The following is a 22,488-nucleotide window of genomic DNA, read 5'->3' as shown; positions in this document are numbered from 1 at the left end:
GCATTTACATTGTGTTAGGTATTGTAAAGTAATCAAGAGATGATTTAACATATCGGTCCCACAACCTTTTTGGCACCAGGGACTGGTTTTGTGGAAGACAATTTTTCCACCAACAGCGTGGAGGGTGTGGCAAATGAAACTGTTCCATCCCAGATCATCAGGCATTAGTTAGATTCCCATAAGGAGCACGCAACCTAGATCTCTCGGAGTTGCAGTTTACAATAGGGCTCATGCTCCTTTGAGAATCTAATGCCACTGCTGATCAGACAGGAGGCGGAGCTCAGGCAGTAATGTTCACTTGCCCTCTGCTCACTCCACCTGTTTGGCCTGGTTCCTAACAGGCACGGACCAGTATGCGGCCCAGGCGTTGAGGAACCCCTGATTTAAAGTACACAGAAGGATGGAGGTAGGTTATATGCAAATACAACACCATTTTATATAAGGGACTTGAGCATCTGAGAATTTTGGTATGTGACGGAGTCCTGGAATCAATCCCCTGGGGATACCGAGAAACAACTGTACTTCATTATTACACTTTGTGAAAAGTTATGTACTATACTGAGAATTTAATTTGCAAATTACTGTGTATATTCTGAAAATACAAAATTCATGTAATAAAAATAATAGTAGCATATACATCCTCCAAGTATTTTACAGGATGAACACTGGTAAGACCTAACTAAACGAAAAAATGCCAAACTCTCAATCTAAACTGCTGGCAGATTTGGAAGAGAAATCTGTAAGTTTTAGTCAATAAATCCTCCATTTATCTCATTTCTAAGTACAGCATTTCTCACATAATAGCAACTCAATAAATATTCTTTAAGCAAATGAATAAATGACACCTTTGTTAGACAATTAGATCACAAAGAAAAAGGCTGAGTCCTATATTAACAAATACTATAATTCTGCCTAATTTAATACATGTGGACTATTTTCATGTCTAAGCAAAAGCCCTAATACTGCCTTGCTAATCTTGTTATCAATGGAATTAAACAACTACAAAAACACTAAACAACAAATGTTTCCACCAGCAACTGTCAATGTAGAAGTCATTTAAAAACATAAATATATCACTCCAGCATTCATCTATCTTTTGTGCATTTGATTGCAATTTGTTATTTTTTAAAGGATAGGTTCTACAAAAGAATGTGTATTTTCTAAACATGTGTATTTCATTTTTGAAAGGGGGAGACGGAGGCTGACATTTGCAGGGTGAAAGGAGGAAAAAAGTTTTCACAGCAAGAAGCAGGAAGAGCAGTAGAGTTACTGAGACTGCCCGTGAGTGAGAGCACACATACTTGGCCCAAAGTCAAGTTAAAAAAAAAAAAAAAAAAAAAAAAGAAGTGCCAGCAGAAGACGCAGCTTGGAAGGCAGACAGAAGGCCAGGAGAAAGGCCAGGTGAAGTAATAGGGTGAGGGTTGAGCTGATTTACTAATATGAAAAAGATATGAAGAAGCCTAGCTTTAAAACAGCACCTTTATAGGAAGTTTCAATATTTTGGGAGTAAGATGCTTTTCAGAGGACTGCAATAGTAAGTATACGTCAATCTATTAGAAGTGAATCTAAGTGGCAATGAGGAAATTTTAGGGCTTGGAATTAACAAGTAAATGTATTATATCCTTATCTGGCAGGGCTACTGAAGGGATTACAGATAGTAAATATTAAATTACTTGGGCAAGCATCTCTTACAAATATTTATTAATTATCTGTAAGCTTCATGAAAACAGGGACCATGATCATATGCCTAGGGCCCAGAACAGGCATGTAAAACCCAGTGCGTTGAATAAATAAATAAGGAGGAAAAAAGAAGAAAAGTCTCAGGCTCCATTTCATCAGAGAGGGTTATTTGGTTTTCAAATCATAAGGCTTACAGTAATATATGCTAACATTTAGATTCAGCATTTAAGAGAATAGATATAAAATGCATTAAGGCTTGCTTTTCACTCTGTAGGAAATAGCCAATAAAGGAAAATACTCCATTATTGACTTGAACTGTCCAATATGGTAGCCACTAGCCGTGTCTATTTAAATTAATTAAAAATAAATAAAATTAAGAATTCGCCTCCTCAAGGACACTAGCCACATTTCAAGTGCTTAATTGCCACATGTAGCTAGTGGCTATCATACTGGACAACAAAGATATAACACACTTCTACCATTGCAGAAAATCTATTGGATGGTGGAAGAGAATCACAAACTCAAATGTCTACAGGGGCCTGTCCAGTGCAGTAGAACATAAGAGAGAGAAGCTGGGGCTAGAGTGAACCAGAAAATAGAGAATATGCTCCACCCCAGGTGGGTAGCAAGTACTCAGCTCTAGCTGTTTATCACCCTGTAGGAATGTAGGCACAGTGTTTATTATCAGATCTTCTAACTATTTAAGAATGCAGATATATATATATATATATATATTTTATATTTATTTACTTTTTTTTAAGGCAAGGTCTCATTCTGTTGCCCAGGTTGGAGAGTGCAGTGGTCTGTGGTATGATCACGACACACTGCAGCCTCAACCTCCTGGGCTCATTTGATCCTCCTGCCTCAGCTGCCCTTGTGGCTGGGATAAAAGATGCATGCCACCACACCCGACTAATTTTTTCTAATTTTTTTTTTTTTTTTTTGTAATAACAGGGTTTTGCCATGTTGCCCAGCTGGTCTCAAACCCCTGAGCTCAAGTGATCCGCCCACCTGGGCCTCCCAAAGTGCTGGGATTACAGGCATGAGCCACCATGCTCAGACAAGAATTTATAATTTTCTTTCCTTTTTTTGAGAGGTAGTTTTCCTCTTGTCACCCAGGCTGGAGTACAACGGTGCGATCTCAGCTCACTGCAACCTCCGCATCCCAGGTTCAAGCGATTCTCCTGCTTCAGCCTCCTGAGTAGCTGGGATTACAGGCGCCCACCACCATGCCTGACTAATTTTTGTATTTTTGGTAGAGACAGGGTTTCACCATGTTGGCCAGGCTGGTCTCAAACTCCTGACCTCAGGTGATCCAACCACCTTGGCCTCCCAAAGTGCTGGGATTACAGGTGTGAGCCACTCTGCCCGGCCAGTAATTATAATTTTCTGTGAAATCACTTAACAAATATTGCTAACTAATTCAATTTTTAAAATGAGCAATTCTCCCATACCAAACCAAACCAACAGAAAACCCTTTCAAAACCAAAAAAACATACACTAGCTACACCAGGCCACTAGTTGGCTGTCCTGATCTATATATATCTATATTCCAGGGGTTTTTTGTTTTAAACAAAGCAGCAACAAAGAGTTATTACTAGAAGCAGCAAAGTCATGACACAAGTGGGAAATAACCACTGGCATCAAGACTACAGTCTTATGAAAGGAAAAGCAATTCCCTTCCCTTCCATCCCCATGCTCCCATCCTAAGGTGAATCCATGAGTTGGCTGATGGGCTCTCCTAGATTGTTCTTAGGAGAGTGCATGGCAGTTGGTGTTCAGGCTAAGAACTAAAAAAAAAAAAAAAAAAAAAAAAAATCCCTCTACATAATACAGAAATTGGAACATTTTTGGTATATAAAACTAGCATCTTCATAAGATTCAACCTAATAGCTCCCTCTTAGTGAAAGACTTAATACTGAGTTGAATTCTTCTATATTCTCATATAATTCAAATCCCTAATTAAGTCCTGGCAGAATTGTGACATGCCCATGACCATAAAGCTTGTAAGGGGCAGAGTGGGGGAAAAAATTCAAGATTCCTTGTTTTGTGTTCATCACCTGTATCATAATTGCATCTTAGATATAATGAAGCAATGCAGGCATATTTTAAAGCTTATTAAATATATACTATCCCAATTTAAAATATTTATAGCTATTTAAGAAAATATATAATGTCCACACTATGTCCATTATATGCCATAAAAATACGGCAGCTTACAGTTTTGGGTAATTTCTTATACATCTGATTCAAATGTGTTCCGAAAGGGCCTATGCCCAGTGAGGGAATGATGATTCACACTGGACTTGGTTTTCTCCAAGATTTCTGTTAGAAACAACAAGCACCCACAAGTTTTTGGTATGTGTTGAGTAAGGTCAAATAGATGACAGACTAATGGAGTCTTTTTGTGCCTGTCTTGTTTTATTTTTTTAAATTACTGCCCAACTTCTGTTTTTCAAAGAAACACTGTAAGACTGTCAATCCACTGCCTAACTATCACTTCTTTAGGAAGAGTATATCACCAGCATTCCAGAGAGTCACTATATTACCTCTGTTAGCTAGACAACACAAGATTTCCACTAAACAGTCCAAAATATAAATATCTTAACTTATGATCAGAACATTTCTACTATCTTACGTAGTTTCCTTATCTCTTAGATTCTTTCCTTTTGAAATCTCTTTATCTGGAACTTGAAGGTATGTTCAGGGGATACTTTTACCTTAAGCAGTGGCGTTACTTCTAAGTCACCAGCACTCTGGTTGCAAGCAAGCACACAGATGCCCAAACTGGGGAGGGGCCAGGGAGGCAGGCAGCTCACCTAACAACTGCTTCTCATGAATCTGTGAGCAACAAGATACCTAAGACTGTACTGCCTGGAGATTTTGTCCAAATAATTATACATTTTGATTACTTTCAATTTATTCACTGCAATATATATTTTTCTTTTCCTTTTTTTCCTTTTTTTTTTTTTTTCGAGATGGAATTTCGCTCTTATTGCCCAGACTGGAGTGCAATGGCGCCATCTCGGCTCACCGCAACCTTTGCCTCCCAGGTTCAAGAGATTCTCCTGCCTCAGCCTCCCAAATAGCTGAGATTACAGGCATGCGCCACCACACCCGGCTAATTTTGTATTTTTAGTAGAGACGAGGTTTCTCCATGTTGGTCAGGCTGGTCTCGAACTCCCAACCTCAGGTGATCCGCCTGCCTCGGCCTCCCAAAGTGCTGGGATTACAGGCGTGAGCCACTGCACCCGACTATTTTTTTTTTTTCTTTACTTCAAGTCAGGCATGATGTGTCATGCTACTTTATGAAAGTAAACTGCTTTTCATCTCGAAAGTTCGGATTCCAAAATAAATGTGTGTGTGACAGGGAAGAGGAACAAGGGAGTGGGAAGAGGGAGGGGAGGCATAAGGGACAGCATGTGATAGAAGAAACTTACTGCTAATGCTTTTCCTGTTAATCACGCACTCTAGACACTATTTTAGTACAGGCATAAAGCAGAAATATATGAGGGGAAAAAACGTTGAGCTGATCAGGGACCATTTATTACTCCTCAATACATGACCAAGTGGCTATTCTTTCCATGATAGAAATAAAATCACCTTAAACTCCAATGGATGATGAATGAGAAAATACTTGAGTTTCATTCTTTAAAAACTTTTCAGGCCGGGCGTGGTGGCTCATGCCTGTAATCCTAGCAGTTTGGGAGGCTGAAGTGAGTGGGTTACCTGAGGTTGGGAGTTTAAGACCAGCCTGGCCAACATGGTGAAACCTCTTCTCTATTAAATATGCAAAAAATCAGCCGAGTGCAGCGGTGTGCACCTGTAATCCCAGCTACTCTGGAGGCTGAGGCAGGCGAATGGCTTGTACCTGGGAAGCAGAGGTTGCGGTGAGCTGAGATGACGCCACTGCACTCCAGCCTGGGCTACAGAGTGAGACTTCATCTCAAAAACAAACAAACAAACAAACAGAAACCTTTTCAAACTCTAACTCCAAATAAAGTGCCTAAATAATTTGATATGGTTCCCAGGAGTGGGGATGAAAGCTTTTCTATCAGAAGAACCAGTAATGTTTATAACTCAATATTAAAGAGAGCAAAAATGAAGTATCTTTTGTTTTTGATCCATGCCAGTAACTTTGCATTAAAAATCAGAGACTAAAGCAAATTCATGGCATACAGAATAGCCTTAAATAATACTTAGAGTAAAAGAATGTACCATGGTATGGCAGGTCTGAAACCAAGCTCTGATTTTAAGTTACAGGTCCATCCCTAGGTGTGACCTTGGTCAAGTTATTCAACTTCTTTAGTCCTTTGGTGCTCTCATGGAAAACAATGAGAATTATAACAGAAATAAGTGAGATAACCTTTATAAAACACTTAGTAAATGGCCTGTCCCATAGTATGTATTCAGTATATTTTAGCTATTATTGTACATCTTATTATCACTCCAGTACCCATATTGAACAGAAATGTATGGGAGTTATTTGAATAAGCACAACTTTTAATATTTATTTAGTTTACATATTGGATTTTAGAATCAAGACTTGTAAAATCTGTGTTCATCCTTTATGTATTCTGATAGGGGATATTTAGCTATATTAGATCAGAAAGCACTATCTCTTCTGATGTTTTCAAAGATTAAAAAAATTTCTTCCTAAATGTCATTCAGCTGCAGGTAAAACATGCAATGTTCATGGAAGTGCTAATTATAATCAATTATAATTTAACCACAGCACCGAAAAACATAAAAATATGGCAGTTTACAGCTTTGGGTAATTTCTTATATATCTGATTCAAAGAATTCACTGATCTTTAGGTATAATATTTTTTAGATTTAATCTTTTAGGGTACTCAAATCAATTCGTCATATGACTTTCAACCAGTAGTGAATAGAATGTCTGAGTTTAACAAAAGTAGAAAAAAATCATTTCATTGGAACATCTCCTGAAATTATACAGATTACTCATGATAACCATTTTTTTAACTAGTCTCAAAAATTATTTTTCTCAATATTCCTCGTCATATTAAAATATGACTCAAGAAGGTTATATAATTTTCTTCACAGGAGACAGGGTCACTTTCAGACAAACTGCATAGTTGGTGCAAATGAATAAAAAGTAACTGTTTTATTCCTCTTCTGCTCTTTATCATATCACAATTATCTATTTTACTTAGACTAGTATCCCCATTTTTCACTTCCTCGACCCTTTTGGTTGATTTTCTATACAGCTCTAGATTATTTCATATGCATTATTTTTACCTCAACAGTCAAATAGGCTAATGCTTTTAGGGAACACTAAACAGTAACACTTAGGCACCTTTCCTCCCATAATCCCAAAAGATTAGATTTTTATACTCCACACTTATCTACACTGAGCCTCATAAACTTGTGTGTGTGTGTGTGTGTGTGTGTGTGTGTGTGTGTGTATGTGTGGCGGGGGGTGAGGAATCAATTTAGAGAGCACTTAGCAATCTTCTTGACACCATCATTTCACTATACACAACTCAGGAGATTTCACTATCCATTTCTTCTCCCAGATTATTTTCATAAATAGAAAGTCAGTTATGCCTAAGTACAAATTCTAGGGCCTCCTACTGCTTAAACTCTCCCATTTAGATAAGTAAGTCATTCCTGCCTTTTGGTTCCTTGCCAACTCCCCATCTACAAGAGTCCACAGAGTCCCATGATGGTATGTATGACTCAGAGGAATGAACAGTTTAGGGGAACTGCAGGCCATAGACAGTGGGCCAGACCAGTGTGATGTATTTGGGACTGCCAAGCCCTTGAATATTCTCAAGTCACATCATATACATTTTGATTAGAAATACTTGGGAAATGAATTCTTTCTCTAGAAAACAATTAAATGCATCTAGATAGTGGCATCAGGCACAAGACTACTACAATAAGACCTCCTTTCAGTCCCTCTTTTCTATTTTTGTAATTGGTTTTTGTACTTTTTGTGGTAAATAGTAAAGACTTACAGCAAAGGTTAATACAGAAAATAAAGTATCTGGCCATGTGCGGTGGCTCATCCCTGTAATCCCAGCACTTTGGGAGGCTGAGGGGGGCCGATCACCTGAGGTCAGGAGTTCGAGACCAGCACGGTCAACATGGTGAAACCCCGTCTCTACTAAAAATAAAAAATAAATAAAAAAAAATAAAAGCCAGGTGTGGTAGTGGGTGCCTGTAATCCTGGCTACTCGGGAGGCTGAGGCAGGAGAATCACTTGAACCTGGGAGGCGGAAATTGCAATGAGCTGAGATCACGCCACTGCACTGCAGCCTGGGCAACACAGCGGGACTCTATCTCAGGAAAAAAAAAAGAAAAAGGAAAGAAAGCATATGGACATAATTTCAAATTTTACTTCATCAAATCTCCATTTAATTTGCTAATTTCATTAGCATTTCAAACTGCTAATCAAACATTAGAAAAAAAAAAAAAGATAAGTGCCTCCCACTACATATGTCCTTAAGAAGTCAGAAGAAAACTCAAGCCTATCCTGTGCCAAAATGATGAACTATAATGCATTACTTGTCAGAAAACGTTAACAGCTCTTCCTTTTCATAAAGAATTGAAATGTATTCATTAAGGATGAAGTTTGGTTTTGAGAATTTAGTCTCACAAATATTAATTTTTAAATAAAATTGTTTAAAAATTAAAAGAGAAACTGCTGGAAATTACCGGTAATATAATAAATTAATTCAGTTTCATAACAGAAACACTAATATTTATAAGTTTACCATATTGACAAAGTGTTGACAATAATTACTACTGTAAGATTTTCTGTTTTCACAATGTTGTCAGTTCATGTTATTAGCCTTCTCAATAAACATTCAACTATGACCTTTTTTTTTTTTTTTTTTTTTTTTTTTTTTGAGTTTCCCGCTCTTGTTGCCCAGGCTGGAGTGCAATGGCACAATCTTGGCTCACTGCAAGCTCTGCCTCCTGGGTTCAGGCGATTCTCCCACCTCGGCCTCCCGAATAGCTGGGATTACAGGCATGCGCCACCATGCCCGGCTAACTTTGTATTTTTAGTAGAGACGGGGTTGCTCCATGTTGGTCAGGCTGGTCTCAAACTCTCAACCTCAGGTGATTCGCCTGCCTTGGCCTCCCAAAGTGCTGGAATTACAGGCATGAGCCACCGCACTGGCATGACCATCTTTTTGTAAGCTGCCCAAAGTGCATATTTACTAACTGATATATAGGTTTCTGGTCTGGTATAGTCTGATGAGGAATTATGCAACTCTGACATTAAGTTACCTGGCCAACATGCAAGTTTTTCTTTTATATTGAACCCATGGATAGATTAAGAACTTAATAATCATTTTATAACTTTAATAAAATAAATATTTTTGCTATTAGTAGGAAAAAGGCATTATAAAAATGTTTAAGCCAGTTTTTTTCCTAAATATACAAAATATCTGATTCCATTCAAACAGATTTTGTTAAAAAGCTAGTCTTAGTACAAAAGCAATTCAACTTAGCATACAGGAAAAAGATTTGTGAACAAGATGCTTGTGAAAATAGTTGATGATTTACAAATCTAGACTCTGTATATTATTTTATGTGCACTGCTAGCTCTATTTACAAACAGCTTTATGTTTCAGTCACTTATTTTATATCCTATAAAAACTACAAAATGCAAGGGATATCAGACTATTCTTCACATAGCTCTGGTTAGTCACAGAATGACTATTATTATAGGACCAAAACAAATGTATAAAAATGTTTTCTGCATCATCAACATGCATGGATGGTAAAAATTATAATACAGGCTATTAAAGCCATAATGCATGTTCAAGAAGTGATGGACAAAATCTGTTTTATTTTTTTAAGCTGTTAATATGATGATCTGCGTTGCTTATGGCCATCTTTGCAAATGTTGCTTTGGTAGACATCTTTATAGTGGGAGACGATGAGGTTGATTCACCAGTAGGAAAACATAAACTCCTATATTATTTTTTTCCAACTGTGGCAATGGTTTTGTTTTTCATTTTTGTTTTTGAGACAGAGACGCGCTCTGTTGCCCAGGCTGGAGTGCGGTGGCATGATCTCGGTTCACTGCAACCTCGGCCTCCTGGGCTCAAGTGATCCTCCCACCTCAGCCTCTTGAGTAGCTGGGACTACAGGTGCACACCATCACACCCAGCTGACTTTTCTATATTTTGTAGAGATGGGGTTTGCCATGTTGCCCAGGCTGGCCTCAAACTCCCAGACTCAAGGGATCCTCCTGCCTTGGCCTCCCAAAGTGCTGGGATTATAGGTGTGGGCCACCATATCCAGCTAGCAATTGTTTTATAATAAGTTGTATTCTCCTGTTTCCTCTATGACTGGCTAAAAGTTCATTCACAGTGTTGCTAGCTGAGGCAAGGGCAAAATCTGTGTCCATGGAACAGTCTACAGTGATATGCTCAATTGGCAACCGAACCTACAGCCTTGGTTTCCTAGTAATAGCCATTCAACAACTGAGTTAGGTAGGAACAAATGAAACATACATATCGGAATGAACACGTGCCCATGTTTCTTCTGGTTAATTATGAAATTAAGAAGGATTTGAGCCTGCTGTGTTTTTATACAGATCAAAATGAGAATACAGATGACTAAACGGAAGTGGACTTCTATGGATTTAATTCATTCTTATTTTAAATTGTTTTTTTATATTGCAGAGATGGGGTCTCACGATGCTGCCCAGGCTAGAATGCAGTGGCTTTTCGCAGGCACAATCATAGCATATTACTGCCTCAAACTTCTGGGCTCAAGCCTCGGCATCCCCAGTAGCTGAGAATACAGGCATGTACCACTGTACTCAGCTTTGTGGATTTAATGCATATACAAGGTAGAGCTTAAAATATGGAGTACGTTTCATAAAAGCAATTTAGATATAAAACGAACTTGGTAGTTTAAAGTGAGCCTTTACAAATTTTGTAACAGATGGTCAAGTGATCATCTTTACATCATTTAAGATTAGATCAGATTCTTGAAACTGTAAACACTATAACCATGAACAGGCTATACTAACTTCTCCAAACAATGTCTATCAAAGAAAATGTATTTTCTGCAAAGTACACACTTACACTATGTGAAATCTGAAGGAGATACATTTAAAAAGTAAAAATATATTTATGTAACTGTTAGTTTCAGTAATGACTAAAGGAACTTATGGTGGGTGGGTAGAAGGGAATGAGGTAATGCAGTTCAAGAAGGCTGACCTAACAGAAATTACAGAATAAAGACTGGAAAAATTACTATAATGAGAAGTGTTTTTCTTCATTTCTTTTTTTCTGAGACAGGGTCTTGCTCGTCACCCAGGCTGGAGTGCAGTGGCGTGATCATAGGTCACTGTAGCCTCAACCTCCTGGACTCAAGCGATCCTCCTGCCTCAGCCTCCTGAGTAGCTGGGACTATAGGTACATGCCACCACACTCAGCTAATTTAAAAAAAATTTTATTTTTAGTGGAGACAAGATCTCACTGTGTTACCCAGGCTGGTCTTGAATTCCTGGGCTCAAGTGATCCTCCTGCCTCAGCCTCCCAAAGTGCTGAGATTATAGGCATAAGCAATCATGCCCAGCCAAGAAGTATTTTCAATTTTCACATTATACTAAAAACTGAAGTCTTAAAACCAGAATTATTTATTTAAAGCTAAGCACCCAAGATGGTTAAGAAATCTCAACTTCTAACCCTCTGATCATCAACTTCTTTAACTCCTAAAAATGTTTAGGTTAGAAATTCAATAAGCTGCTTATGATGATGGAGGCCATGTTTCTCCAGCCAGCTACTCTGATATATGTAAGTATGAATCATTTTTTCAAATTAAAATTTCTGTAATCCTATGACTATGTGATAAGTGCCAATGGAATACAATGGTGGGATCAAATAACTTCTATTCAGCAAATTTAAAAATACTATTCTGCAAAATTCCTGTTGCCTCTGAGTAGAAATCAGAATTATTAGCTGCATATCATGTCAAACTGCAGGAAGCTACCCAGGCATACACTAACCGAGACAATGTTGCTATGGTGACTAAGTAAATATAGCAAATGGCTACTTCATTAGTGACTCCATGAAACTTTAAATGCTAGAAAAATAGATGGGAAATACCTGGCAGTATGTGGCTACCAATGTGAGCTGGGATTCAGAGAAAAATTCTTAAAAGAGAAGGTAGTTTTTAATATGCTGTTTGAAAATTAAGAAGTTTTCTTGTGCTAACTAGAGCCAAATCAAGCCAGGAAAAAAAAAATGAGAGAAAGAGTAGTCACCCTTTCAAGGAAAAGACCTTCATTTACGACCAGTTGTGGTGCTGATACTGATATTAAAGAGTGAAAGCCATTGGGAGTATCATTTAGGACTGCAAAACAGGAAAGGAGGACTCCCTATTGATTCATTGCTCTGTGGACGTGGTTTCAGGCCATATGGTCTCTCTCTCTCCATTGAGAGGATGAATAGAAGTGAGAGAATTTCTGTACATATTTCAACTTTGAATAATTTAACTTTAAATTCAAGAATGAAAATAGGCCGGCACAGTGGCTCATGCCTGTAATCCCAGCACTCTGGGAGGCCGAGGTGGGCAGATCATGAGGTCAGGAGTTCAAGACCAGCCTGGCCAATATGGTGAAACCCCATCACTACTAAAAATACAAAAATTAGCTGGGCGTGGTAGCATACGCCTGTAGTCCCAGCTACTCGGGAGGCTGAGGGAGAAGAATTGCTTGAACCTGGGAGGCAGAGGTTGCAGTAAGCCAAGATTGTGCCACTGCACTCCAGCCTGGGTGACAGAGCGAGACTCCGTCTCAAAATTAATAAATAAATAATAAATAAAAAAATAAATAAATAGAAGAATAAGAATGAAAATTAAAAAATAAAAGCTGGATATGAACTTCTGTGATACAATGACAAACAATTAATACTAGAATTGAACCTGAAGAAGTTAAATTATCTAGCATTCTACATACTTCTACTCCAATCTTATAAAAAACAAAAGCTGCAAAAAAAACCCCACAAAAGCTGCAAACTAAAAAAAACCCAAACTTAAACACTTCTGTCTTATCCTTATGAATTTACATTGTCACTAAGAACTTTTAGCTGACACCGTGTAGGAATTAACAAAAGATATTCTTACATTTTAGTAGATGGTAGTGGTATTGTGACCTTTTGATGTTACAATGCCACATAAATAAAAACCCTAGTTCAAAGTAAAGTTATAATTACATGACATGTAGCTAGTTATGTATAACATATCACTGTAAACAATTTTATCTCAAAATGGACAATATATAAGCAGTACTAGTTTTAGTTAGACTTTTCATAAAACTACCAGACTATTTTAAAAAAAGACTGGCAATATACTCAACTTTCTGACTTGTAGTAAATACAAGACAATGCTATGGTTGTTTTTGTCCTTGCTTTTATATGTGTAAACCTTGAGACGAAAAGCCATGCTTACCAAGTACCTCAATGTATCCTCCCATATTTCTCCTACTAAAGTCCTTGTAATCCTGTCCACTTTACCCCAGTAACTTGTGCACACCACCACACAAAAGATTCTCCTCCAACCACCCTTTCCAGTACTTTCCAGTACACCCTCTGCCTTTCCAGTACTTTGTATCTGAATGGCTTTCTCATCAGCAGTGCTTAAGACATACCAATTAGTACTGGAGTTACCTCTCCTACCATCCTTTTTGTTAATTTTTTTTTTTTATTTTGAGATGGAGTCTTGCTCTGTTGCCCTGGCTGGAGTGCAGTGGTGCGATCTTGGCTCACTGTAACCTCCGCCTCATGGGTTTAAACGATTCTCCTTCCTCAGCCTCCAGAGTAGCTGGGATTACAGGTGTGTGCCACCACGTCCGGCTAATTTTTCTATTTTTAGTAGAGATAAGGTTTCACCATGTTGGCCAGGCTGGTCTCAAACTCCTGACCTCAAGCGATCTGCCCACCTTGGCCTCCCAAAGTGCTGGGATTACAGGTGTGAGTCACCGCACCAGGCCTCTCCTACCATACTTAAGCACCCTAACCACACATAGGTTGCCATTATTAAACTTTTACTCTATTTTTTTATGTATTCTACTTTCCTTGTTAAACTGAAAGTATGGGGGCAGGGGAGAGGAGAAAAGAGGAGGGTGTGACCTGTACCTATTAGTCCTTCTAAGTGTTCTGAATATTTCTCAAATAAAATGTAAGAGATGACAAAATACATCCTTACATCACTACATTTTTTCTTCTGGCCAGGTTTCCTTTCTGTCGACAGCTCTCTAACATCTGGCCTTCACCATCTTTCCTACCTCTTTTCTTTTCCTACCTTTTTTCTTCACACTGGATTCTTCACAACCTCTCTAATTTCTATTAAATATTAATACATATTTATACTATCTTCTCATGAGCCTCCTTCTATCCCCAAAAAAAGCCTCTAATTTCAAACCAATATCACATTTCTACCATCTCCCAACAGCTTAAAGAGATAAGTATAATCACAGTGTGTAGGAAGAGCTGCCATGGAGAGACAAGTGAAGCACATGGGAAGAGGGGGCAGCTGCCTGGAGGAGGATAGGGAGGCTTTTCCGGAGGTGATGGCCTTGCTAGGAATTTGCTGTACAAAGAAGGCGGTGGTGGGAGGTGGGGGGAAGTAAGGGGCAAAAAAAAGGGTGGTAAATTTCAGGAAGGGTGTGCAATCCACAGAAGCTCAAGAAGAGACAGTGAGAGAGAAAAAGAGGGAGCGAGGGGAGTGGAGGGGAAGGGAAGAGCCAGGTGCGGTGGCTCATTCCTGTAATCCCGGCACTTCGGGAGGCCGAGGTGGGCAGATCACCTGAGGTCAGGAGTTCAAGACCAGCCTGGCCAACATGATGAAACCCTGTCTCTACTAAAAACTACAAAAATTAGCCGGATGTGGTGGCAGGCACCTGTAATCTCAGCTACTCGAGAGGCTGAGGCAGGGTTCATTTAAAAATGAGGATTGGTTGGGTGTGGTGGCTCATGCCTGTAATCCCAACACTTCAGGAGGCCATGAAGGGCAGATCACCTGAGGCTGGAAGTTCGAGACCAACCTGACCAACATGGAGAAACCCTGTCTCTACTAAAAATACAAAATTAGCTGGGCGTGGTGGCGCATGCCTGTAATCCCAGCTACTTGGGAGGATGAGGCAGGAGAATTGCTTGAACCCGGGAGGCGGAGGTTGCGGTGAGACGAGATCATGCCGTTGCACTCCAGCCTGGGCAACAAGAGCAAAACTCCGTCTCAAAAAAAAAAAAAAAAAAGATTAACTCTGGCAGCAATAAGGAGAATGAGGCGAGATAAGCAGAGACTAGTGTTTAGGGAGAACAATACCCAAGGGATGAGGAGAAGCTGCTCAGTGCCCATTGGTTAAAGGGAAGAACGGTGTGTGAGCATGGTAAGCAGACAAATGCTACTGGTCTCAAGAGGTTTCTGGGGGCCTAATCTAAGTCTGGCCCAGCGTCAGGTACTGCTCGAGAAATGAAAAGGAAAAAGCTACAAGCTACTGGAGGGGTGGGCAAGATAGACTAGTACCTAAATGAAAGAGCTTCTGGAATGTCAAAGGATTCCTCATTGGTAATTCCTATAATTTGTCACCTTGTTTTCTGGCAACAAGAGTGAAACTCCGTCTCCAAAAAAAAAAAAAAAAGATTAACTCTGGCAGCAATAAGGAAAATGAGGCAGGATAAGCAGAGACTGGTGTTTAGGGAGAACAATACCCAAGGGATGAGGAGAAGCTGCTCAGTGCCCGTCGGTTAAAGGGAAGAACGGTGTGTGAGCATGGTAAGCGGACAAATGCCACTGATCTCAAGAGGTTTCTGGAGGCCTAATGTAAGTCTGGCCCAATGTCAGGTACTGCTCAAGAAATGAAAAGGAAAAAGCTACAACCTACAGGAGGGGTGGGCAAGACAGACTAGCAACCAAATGAAAGAGCTTCTGGAACGTCAAAGGATTCTTCACTGGTAATTCCTAGGATTTGTCACCTTGTTTTCTAGCCTTCAGTCCCCCTTCTTTGTATGGCAAACTCATCCCTTGGGCCATCACCTCCCCAGAAAATTTTTCCCTTATTCCCTGGGCATTTGTGCCATTTCCCCATGCACTTTACTCATCTCTCTACTGCAGAGGACTCAGGATTCCCACAGCCTCCTAAAAAGTGAGCACCAGCATGGTGTTAAAGAAGGAAAAATAACCCAATATGTCATTTAATTACATTCCATTTAATACATTCAGAATGTCTGTCACCTATCAGGGACTATGTTAACTACTGATCTATATTCCTTTTAAAATACATTAGTAAAAACTTTTAAAGAATTCTTCAATGAAAGCAAATAAAGGCAAGACTATCACAGAGAAAGCCTAACTCAAGCAAAAGTTTTGCGATATTTGTTTTTTAAAAAAGTTTTGAGATATAAGTGACATATAAGCTGTAGATAAAGGGTACAATTTGATGTTTTCACATATGTATATGTCTGTGAAATCATTTGCTATTCTTAGAAAAACTGTCCAGCCTTATAACCTAGGTTCTTCAATGCTGAATTTTGCTCTCCCTGTGGATAAACTGAAGCAGAATATATAAGTTACTATCTATCTCTGATCAATAACCTGGAAACTGTATCTTACATTTTTAATTGAATATGAAAATATATATCTATATACAACTCAATATGCTCTTCTAAATTTCATATGCTAATAAATACTTTTAAAATGTCAACATACTTTTGCAGGCAATATAATTATATACCTTAAAGAGAAAGAAAAAATTGAAAAATGAAATAATACAAATATACAAAAATAATTTTCCTATAATCCAGCTATATAATATTTTTTATTTTTGAGACAAGGTCTCACTCTGTTGCCCAGGCTGGAGTGTAGTGGCATGATCACAGCTCACTGCAGCCTTGACCTTCCAGGTTCAAGAGATCTCCCACCTTGGCCTCCTATTTCTCCCCAGTAGCTGGGACTATAGGTGTGCACCACCATGACCAGCTTATTTTTAAATTTTTTGTAGAGACAGGGTCTTACCATGTTGCCCAGGCTTGTATTTTTTAAAGAAACACATTTACAATAGCAACAAAACTATAAATACACAACCCTTACCAGAAAAAGGTTCAACCCTCTTAGAAGAAAACTATATACTGCAACTGAAAGATATAAAAGAAGGCGTAAATAGACAGCTGTGTTTTTGAATGGGAAGATTAAATATTCTAAGAAGTGAATTCTTCCCAACTAATTTTATAAATTTAGAGCAAAAAAATTTTACTGGAGATTTTTGAACCTGGGAAAAAAAAGTGTTCTAAAATTTGGACAAGGAAGACCAAACAGGTAAGAAGAATTAAGAAAAACATTTAAACAGAAGAACAATAATGGGGAATATAATATTCTAAGGCATTAAAATATATTAAGCTACAATAATCAAAATAGTATGTCTCTGATATAAGATTGGAATGACAGAATGGAAAAAACTGCTTAGAAACAGACCCTATGATGTATAAGAATGAAACTTTTAAAGTGCCATCTCAAACCTCTGAAGGAAAGGATTATTCAAATAAAGTGCTTATAAGAGAAAAAGGCCCACCCTCTAAGATATGCTGATGGGGAAAGTTACCAAAAAGAAAGTTAAGTTAAGAGGTAGCTACACAAATTACAACCAACAGCGTAAGTTTAGAGCTATAGTTACAACATGATATATAGCCTCAAATTTCCTTTTGGTTAGGTAATACAGTCACATGGTACTGAATTCGTATCACACAAAAGGATACATGATTATAAATAAGTCTCCCCTACCCACCCAGACCTTCTCTTTGGGGACAACCACTGACCCAATTTCTGGTGCATACTTCAAGATATATTCTATGACATTGCTTTTTTTTTTTTCCGGATATAATCACCATTTATTTTACTATCACAGCCCATAAAAGGAAGAAAACAGATGCATTTTTCCTAATTCCAACAGAATCTGCCAATTCTTTCATACTTGTTGAGTTAATTACAATAAGATTGATTATAATGCTGATGAAGAAATTCAAATTGAACTTCCTGTAACAAACAATGAGGAAACAAAATTTATTGAAACAAATAAGTACAACAGGCACCACTGTCCCAATATTAAGGGTTATATGACAATAATCCATTGTAGCAAAATATCAAGATATAGCTGGGAAACTTCTTAAATGCATTTGAAGATATGGTCTATGACATTTCATTTTTAAAGAAGTACTTGGGTGGAAATATTTTGCCTTTGCTCTGGCTTTCTAATCACGGTTGTCTTTGGGAGACAGCTTGTCATAGGCCAAGGCTATTCTTTTTTTTTTTTTTTTTTTTGAGACAGAGCTTCACTCCTGTTGCACAAGGCTGGAGTGCAATGGCGCTATCTGGGCTCATTGCAATCTCCATGTCAAGCAATTCTCCTGCCTCAGCCTCTGAGTAGCTGGGACTATAGGCACCTGCTGCCATGATGCCCGGCCAACAGGCCAACGTTATTCTTATAGGAAAGATTAATTATTGGTAGGGTGTTTAAGAAATAAGAAATGATATTTAAAGTCAACCAAAGTATTTAGTCATTTTATCTCAACATGAGGGTCATAAGGAAAAACATTAAGTGATTGATTTCAAAAATAGGGTTTTGAGATAGTTTAAATTACAGATGAAACGGCAATCAGGTCGAATATGACATTATATTGTTCTTGTCCATATATTATCCGAAAGTTGTACCTCCTTGTTAAGAATTCTTTATCTGCCAGACTACAGAATATATTTCTCAAAATATGTTCTAAGGACCACCTACATCGGAATTGTCAGGGTGCCTATTAGCAATGCATATTTCTAGTCCCAACTCAGACCTGTTGAGTCAAAATCTCTGAGGGCCAGGCCATGGAATCTGTAGTTTAGTGAAGGCCTCAGCTGATTTGTATACACAAACATGAAAGTTTGAGAACAACTTGGTACTAAGCCCCATAAATACAGAAATCCTGTCTTTCTTATTCACTGCAGGGACAGTGCCTAGCACAATGCCTGACAAAGATGGTATCCCACAAAATATGTTGGAGGCTTCATGAACATACATTGAGATTGACTGCAGAATATCTTGATATGTTGTCAACACTGAACTGATTCTGAAACTGCATGCTTCATCCATGATAGAGATTTGAATAAAAATCAGAAAAACAAGCTTTGGCAATCAACAGCTTAATAGAGTTCATTTACTTGCATAATTCACTTTCACAGCAAAACACTTGGAAAGATGTCAGGAAATTTAATTAGCAATACTTTATTATATATCTGAGTTTCAGATAGATGGTACAAGTGTATCACATTAACAACAAAGACCAAGTGACCCAAAGGGAGTGTTCCTCCAACTAAAATGAGATATTCTACATATTTTCTATTTTGTGATTTATTAAATGCAATGACATCTGCCCTAACTAGAATCAGAAAAGAAGAAGGGAAAAAAGGGCATCTCAGCAACCAAAACAGATGTCACAGGGCCAAACATGACAGCTCTGACCACTTGACTCATAGGCAAGCCCATCAGACCTTCACTCAGAGTCTATTCAGTCTTCTTTTACACACACTATTCATTCTAGTGGAATTTTTAAACTGGATTCTTTGCTCACAGGAAATTAAAAACACTAAATCAGAAGGAAGAGAGAGGCTGCAACAGACAGTAACACAATCAACATGACAAAATGATACCTGATAAGAGGGGACTGAAGAACTACATATAACTCTCAAAGGACTTGCAAAGCATAATACTCTGGGGCCATCTTGTAAAGGGGCAAATAATCCTACTCTTCTTGATGGTGTATGAAGGCATTTGCCATATAATCAAAAAATGGGTATTCATATGAAAAACTAAGTTACAGAGAAAGTTAGATTATGTTCTCAACAAACTCTTCATGAAGTATGGATACAGTTTAATATATAATATAGCTTAGAAAGATATTCATTCATTAAAGTGAACTAAAAATTTTAAGTTACAAACTTTTAAAGGAGTTTAGTAACTATTTTGAAAACCCAACTACTAGAAATAACTTACTCCTCTAGAATTTCAAGAAGGGAAAATGGTATTAATGTACCAAACCAACAGAGATAATTGTCAAGACAAGACATCCTTTAAGATTTTTAGTTCTTTGTTAACATGCTTAGCAACAATTCTTATTTTATATATTTGAAGGACTGTATAGCACAGTACTGTCATTTATTCACCATTTAGAGCTGACATGGGGGATTACTTCTAGAAAAGTCATAGTGCAGTATTCTATCAGTTATTTTCATCTTGAATAGTTTTTTATGAAAAAGGAATATCTAAAGTTTTGTATTTAAAAAATGTGCTACTGAAATGCGTTAATGATAACACAAATAGAAGTATAAACTGCTAGTAATTTAATGAACTACAATAAAACACCATATGGCATTCAATATAATTATGTAATAAGAATTGAAAATTCTGTGAACAATAGCATTTGGCCATCACCACCCCCACTCCCTCCAAAATTGGTGTGCGTACCCGACAGGATTGGTAAACAACAGATTTATAAATTAATTTTATGTATTTCTTGTTCGTATTAGCCTCATAAGGGGTGCACGCATGCGCACGTGTTTTGTTTCTCCTATACAACTGCATCATTTTGGATTATAAAAATCAACTTTTTTTTTTTTTTTTTTTTTTTTATTGAGACAAGGTCTCCCTCTGTTACCTAGGCTGGAGGGCAGTGGCATCATCTCAGCTCACTGCAACCTCCTGCACCTCCTGGACTCAAGTGATTGGCCCACCTCAGCCTCAGGAGTAGCTGAGACTACAGGAGTAGCTGAGACTACAGGCGTAGCTGGGACTATAGGCACACACCACCCTCAGCTGCTTTTTTAAGGTTTTTATAGAGATGAAGTCTCCATAAAATTATTCAAGATGAAAATAACTGATAGAATACTGCACTATGACTTTTCTAGAAGTAATCTCCCATGTCAGCCCAGAATGGTCTTGAACTCCTGGGCTCAAGCAATCCTCTTGCTTTGGTCTCCCAAAGGGCTGGAATTATAGGCGTGAGCCACCGTGCCCAGCCAAAATCAAGTCTTAAAAGCTAAAGGATCTAGCCATAGTTCACGAAGCAGGTTTAGTATTTATCTTTTTGAAACTACACAGGATGTTGCATGTCAAAGAACAAATTATCTACAGTGAACAACTCAAGGGCAGGAAAAATGTCTTATTCATCTTTTCATTCCTGAGTGTCTGTTATATAATAGATGTTCAAGGTTTACTGAATGGGTTTACATGCATTTCTGAAGCTTGGGCTGTAAAACCCTTGGAATTACAATATTGATTCTGAGGGGAAAAAAAATGTGCTCATCCTATAGTATTAACCTTAGTTCTAACAGGAAATGACATCTTTAATTCCTTATCCAAGCTAAAGTACATTTATGTATCATGATATGTTATACTAAAGACATGCCATTTTAAAGAGAAGGGGGCTTCTTTCATTGAGATTCTAAAATTAACTTGGAATACATTAAATAAAAGTCAATTCAATTTTATAAGGACTCAACAAATAAAAAACTTAACAAGGGAAGGGCCCTTGTTAAATTCCCAAATAAACAAAATCCCAAAGGATTTTGTTTGTATTGTATGTATTCCTTTTGTTAACAGAAAAACATTGTTAACTTCAGATAAATCTCCTAAAATGAAAGAGGCTAAAAAGGTTATGATAAACATTCATTCGTGCAATGAATACTTACTGAGCACTATTATGTATGAGACACTATGCTAGGTGGTGGAGATATAGTCAGTATGTCATAATTAATTAATTAAGGTAGTCACACAATGGTAAGTGTTAAGAATACAATAAACCTGAGTAATGTCATAGCACATAATTAGGTGGTGGTAGTGGCGGCGGTGGGGAGAAGTCTATACTATTTCACCCAGCAGTGGTCGAGAAAGGCCCATCTGAGGAGGTTCCATATAAACTGAGAGAACTGCATGGTTGGAAGGGGGCTACCAACTGAAGATCTGATGAAAGATATGTGTTTAGACAGAAAGAAGGGCCCTGAGATGGGACTATACTTGTTCTTTTTGACAGATAAAAGGTGGCAACTATGGCTGCTGTCTAATGAATGAGATGTGTAGTGGAAGAAGAGGTTAAAAAAGCTTCAGGATCAGATCAAAGTTCTGAAGGCCAGATGATGCAGGATTTGTACATTTTATTTTAACTGCAATAAGCAGGGAAGTGGTATGACTAGATCTACACTAATGAGTCTGACCTGTGAGGGATGGTCCATAGGGGGAAGGAAGGAGCTACTACTTAGGAGGTTACTGCAGTAGTGGAGGCAGGGCCAGCTTCATGAAGAGGGAGCCTGTGCAGTCATACTGGGACCCCACTTGGAAGGGCCCTGAGCTTGATTTAATGCTCCACTGTCACTGATTTCATTTTTATTAAAATTTCTATAGTTTTGGGGGGTACAGATGGTTTTTGGTTACATGGATAAGTCCCTCAGTGGTCTTTTTGAAATTTTTAATAATGTATGAACAAAAGGCCCCATATTTTCATTTTGCACTAGGTCCTGCAGATTATATAGTCAGTCCTGAACTTATATTCTGGAGCAAAAATGGCAGCTTAGAATAGTGTAGTAGGATTCAGGGTGTATTGTGTTGGTACAACTAACAGGACTTGGTCATTGACTAGATGTGTCTTGTCAAGAAAAGAAGAATCATGGATAACTCCCAGGTTTTTTACCTGAGAAACTGCGTAAAAAATGGGTAAGACTGGGGGCAGGGAGGACACTGCATTAGAGGTGGGCTAACAACCAAGAATTCAATTTTACGCATGTGAA

The 22,488-nt window shown here is 38.2% G+C and overlaps 1 protein-coding gene and 1 long non-coding RNA gene across 5 annotated transcripts in view; one reads left to right on the top strand and one right to left on the bottom strand.

The window, feature by feature from the left end:
• GTF2F2 (general transcription factor IIF subunit 2) overlaps positions 1 to 22,488 on the bottom strand; it is a 164,384-nt gene that overhangs the window by 41,294 nt on the left and 100,602 nt on the right. The window lies entirely within an intron of this gene.
• On the top strand, positions 322 to 18,745 carry LOC105370190 (uncharacterized). 2 transcript variants are annotated; one of them, XR_941937.3, is made up of 3 exons: positions 322 to 406; positions 11,404 to 11,471; positions 18,658 to 18,745. It is a non-coding gene; the product is annotated as an uncharacterized LOC105370190 (long non-coding RNA). The 2 variants fall into 2 exon arrangements; XR_007063779.1 differs by lacking the exon at positions 322 to 406 and adding an exon at positions 8,535 to 10,519.

Source organism: Homo sapiens, chromosome 13 (assembly GCF_000001405.40).
Source record: "Homo sapiens chromosome 13, GRCh38.p14 Primary Assembly".
NCBI classification, from domain to species: Eukaryota; Metazoa; Chordata; class Mammalia; order Primates; family Hominidae; genus Homo; species Homo sapiens.
Note: the sequence above shows the minus strand (reverse complement) of the source record. Positions and strands in the feature narration are given on the sequence as shown.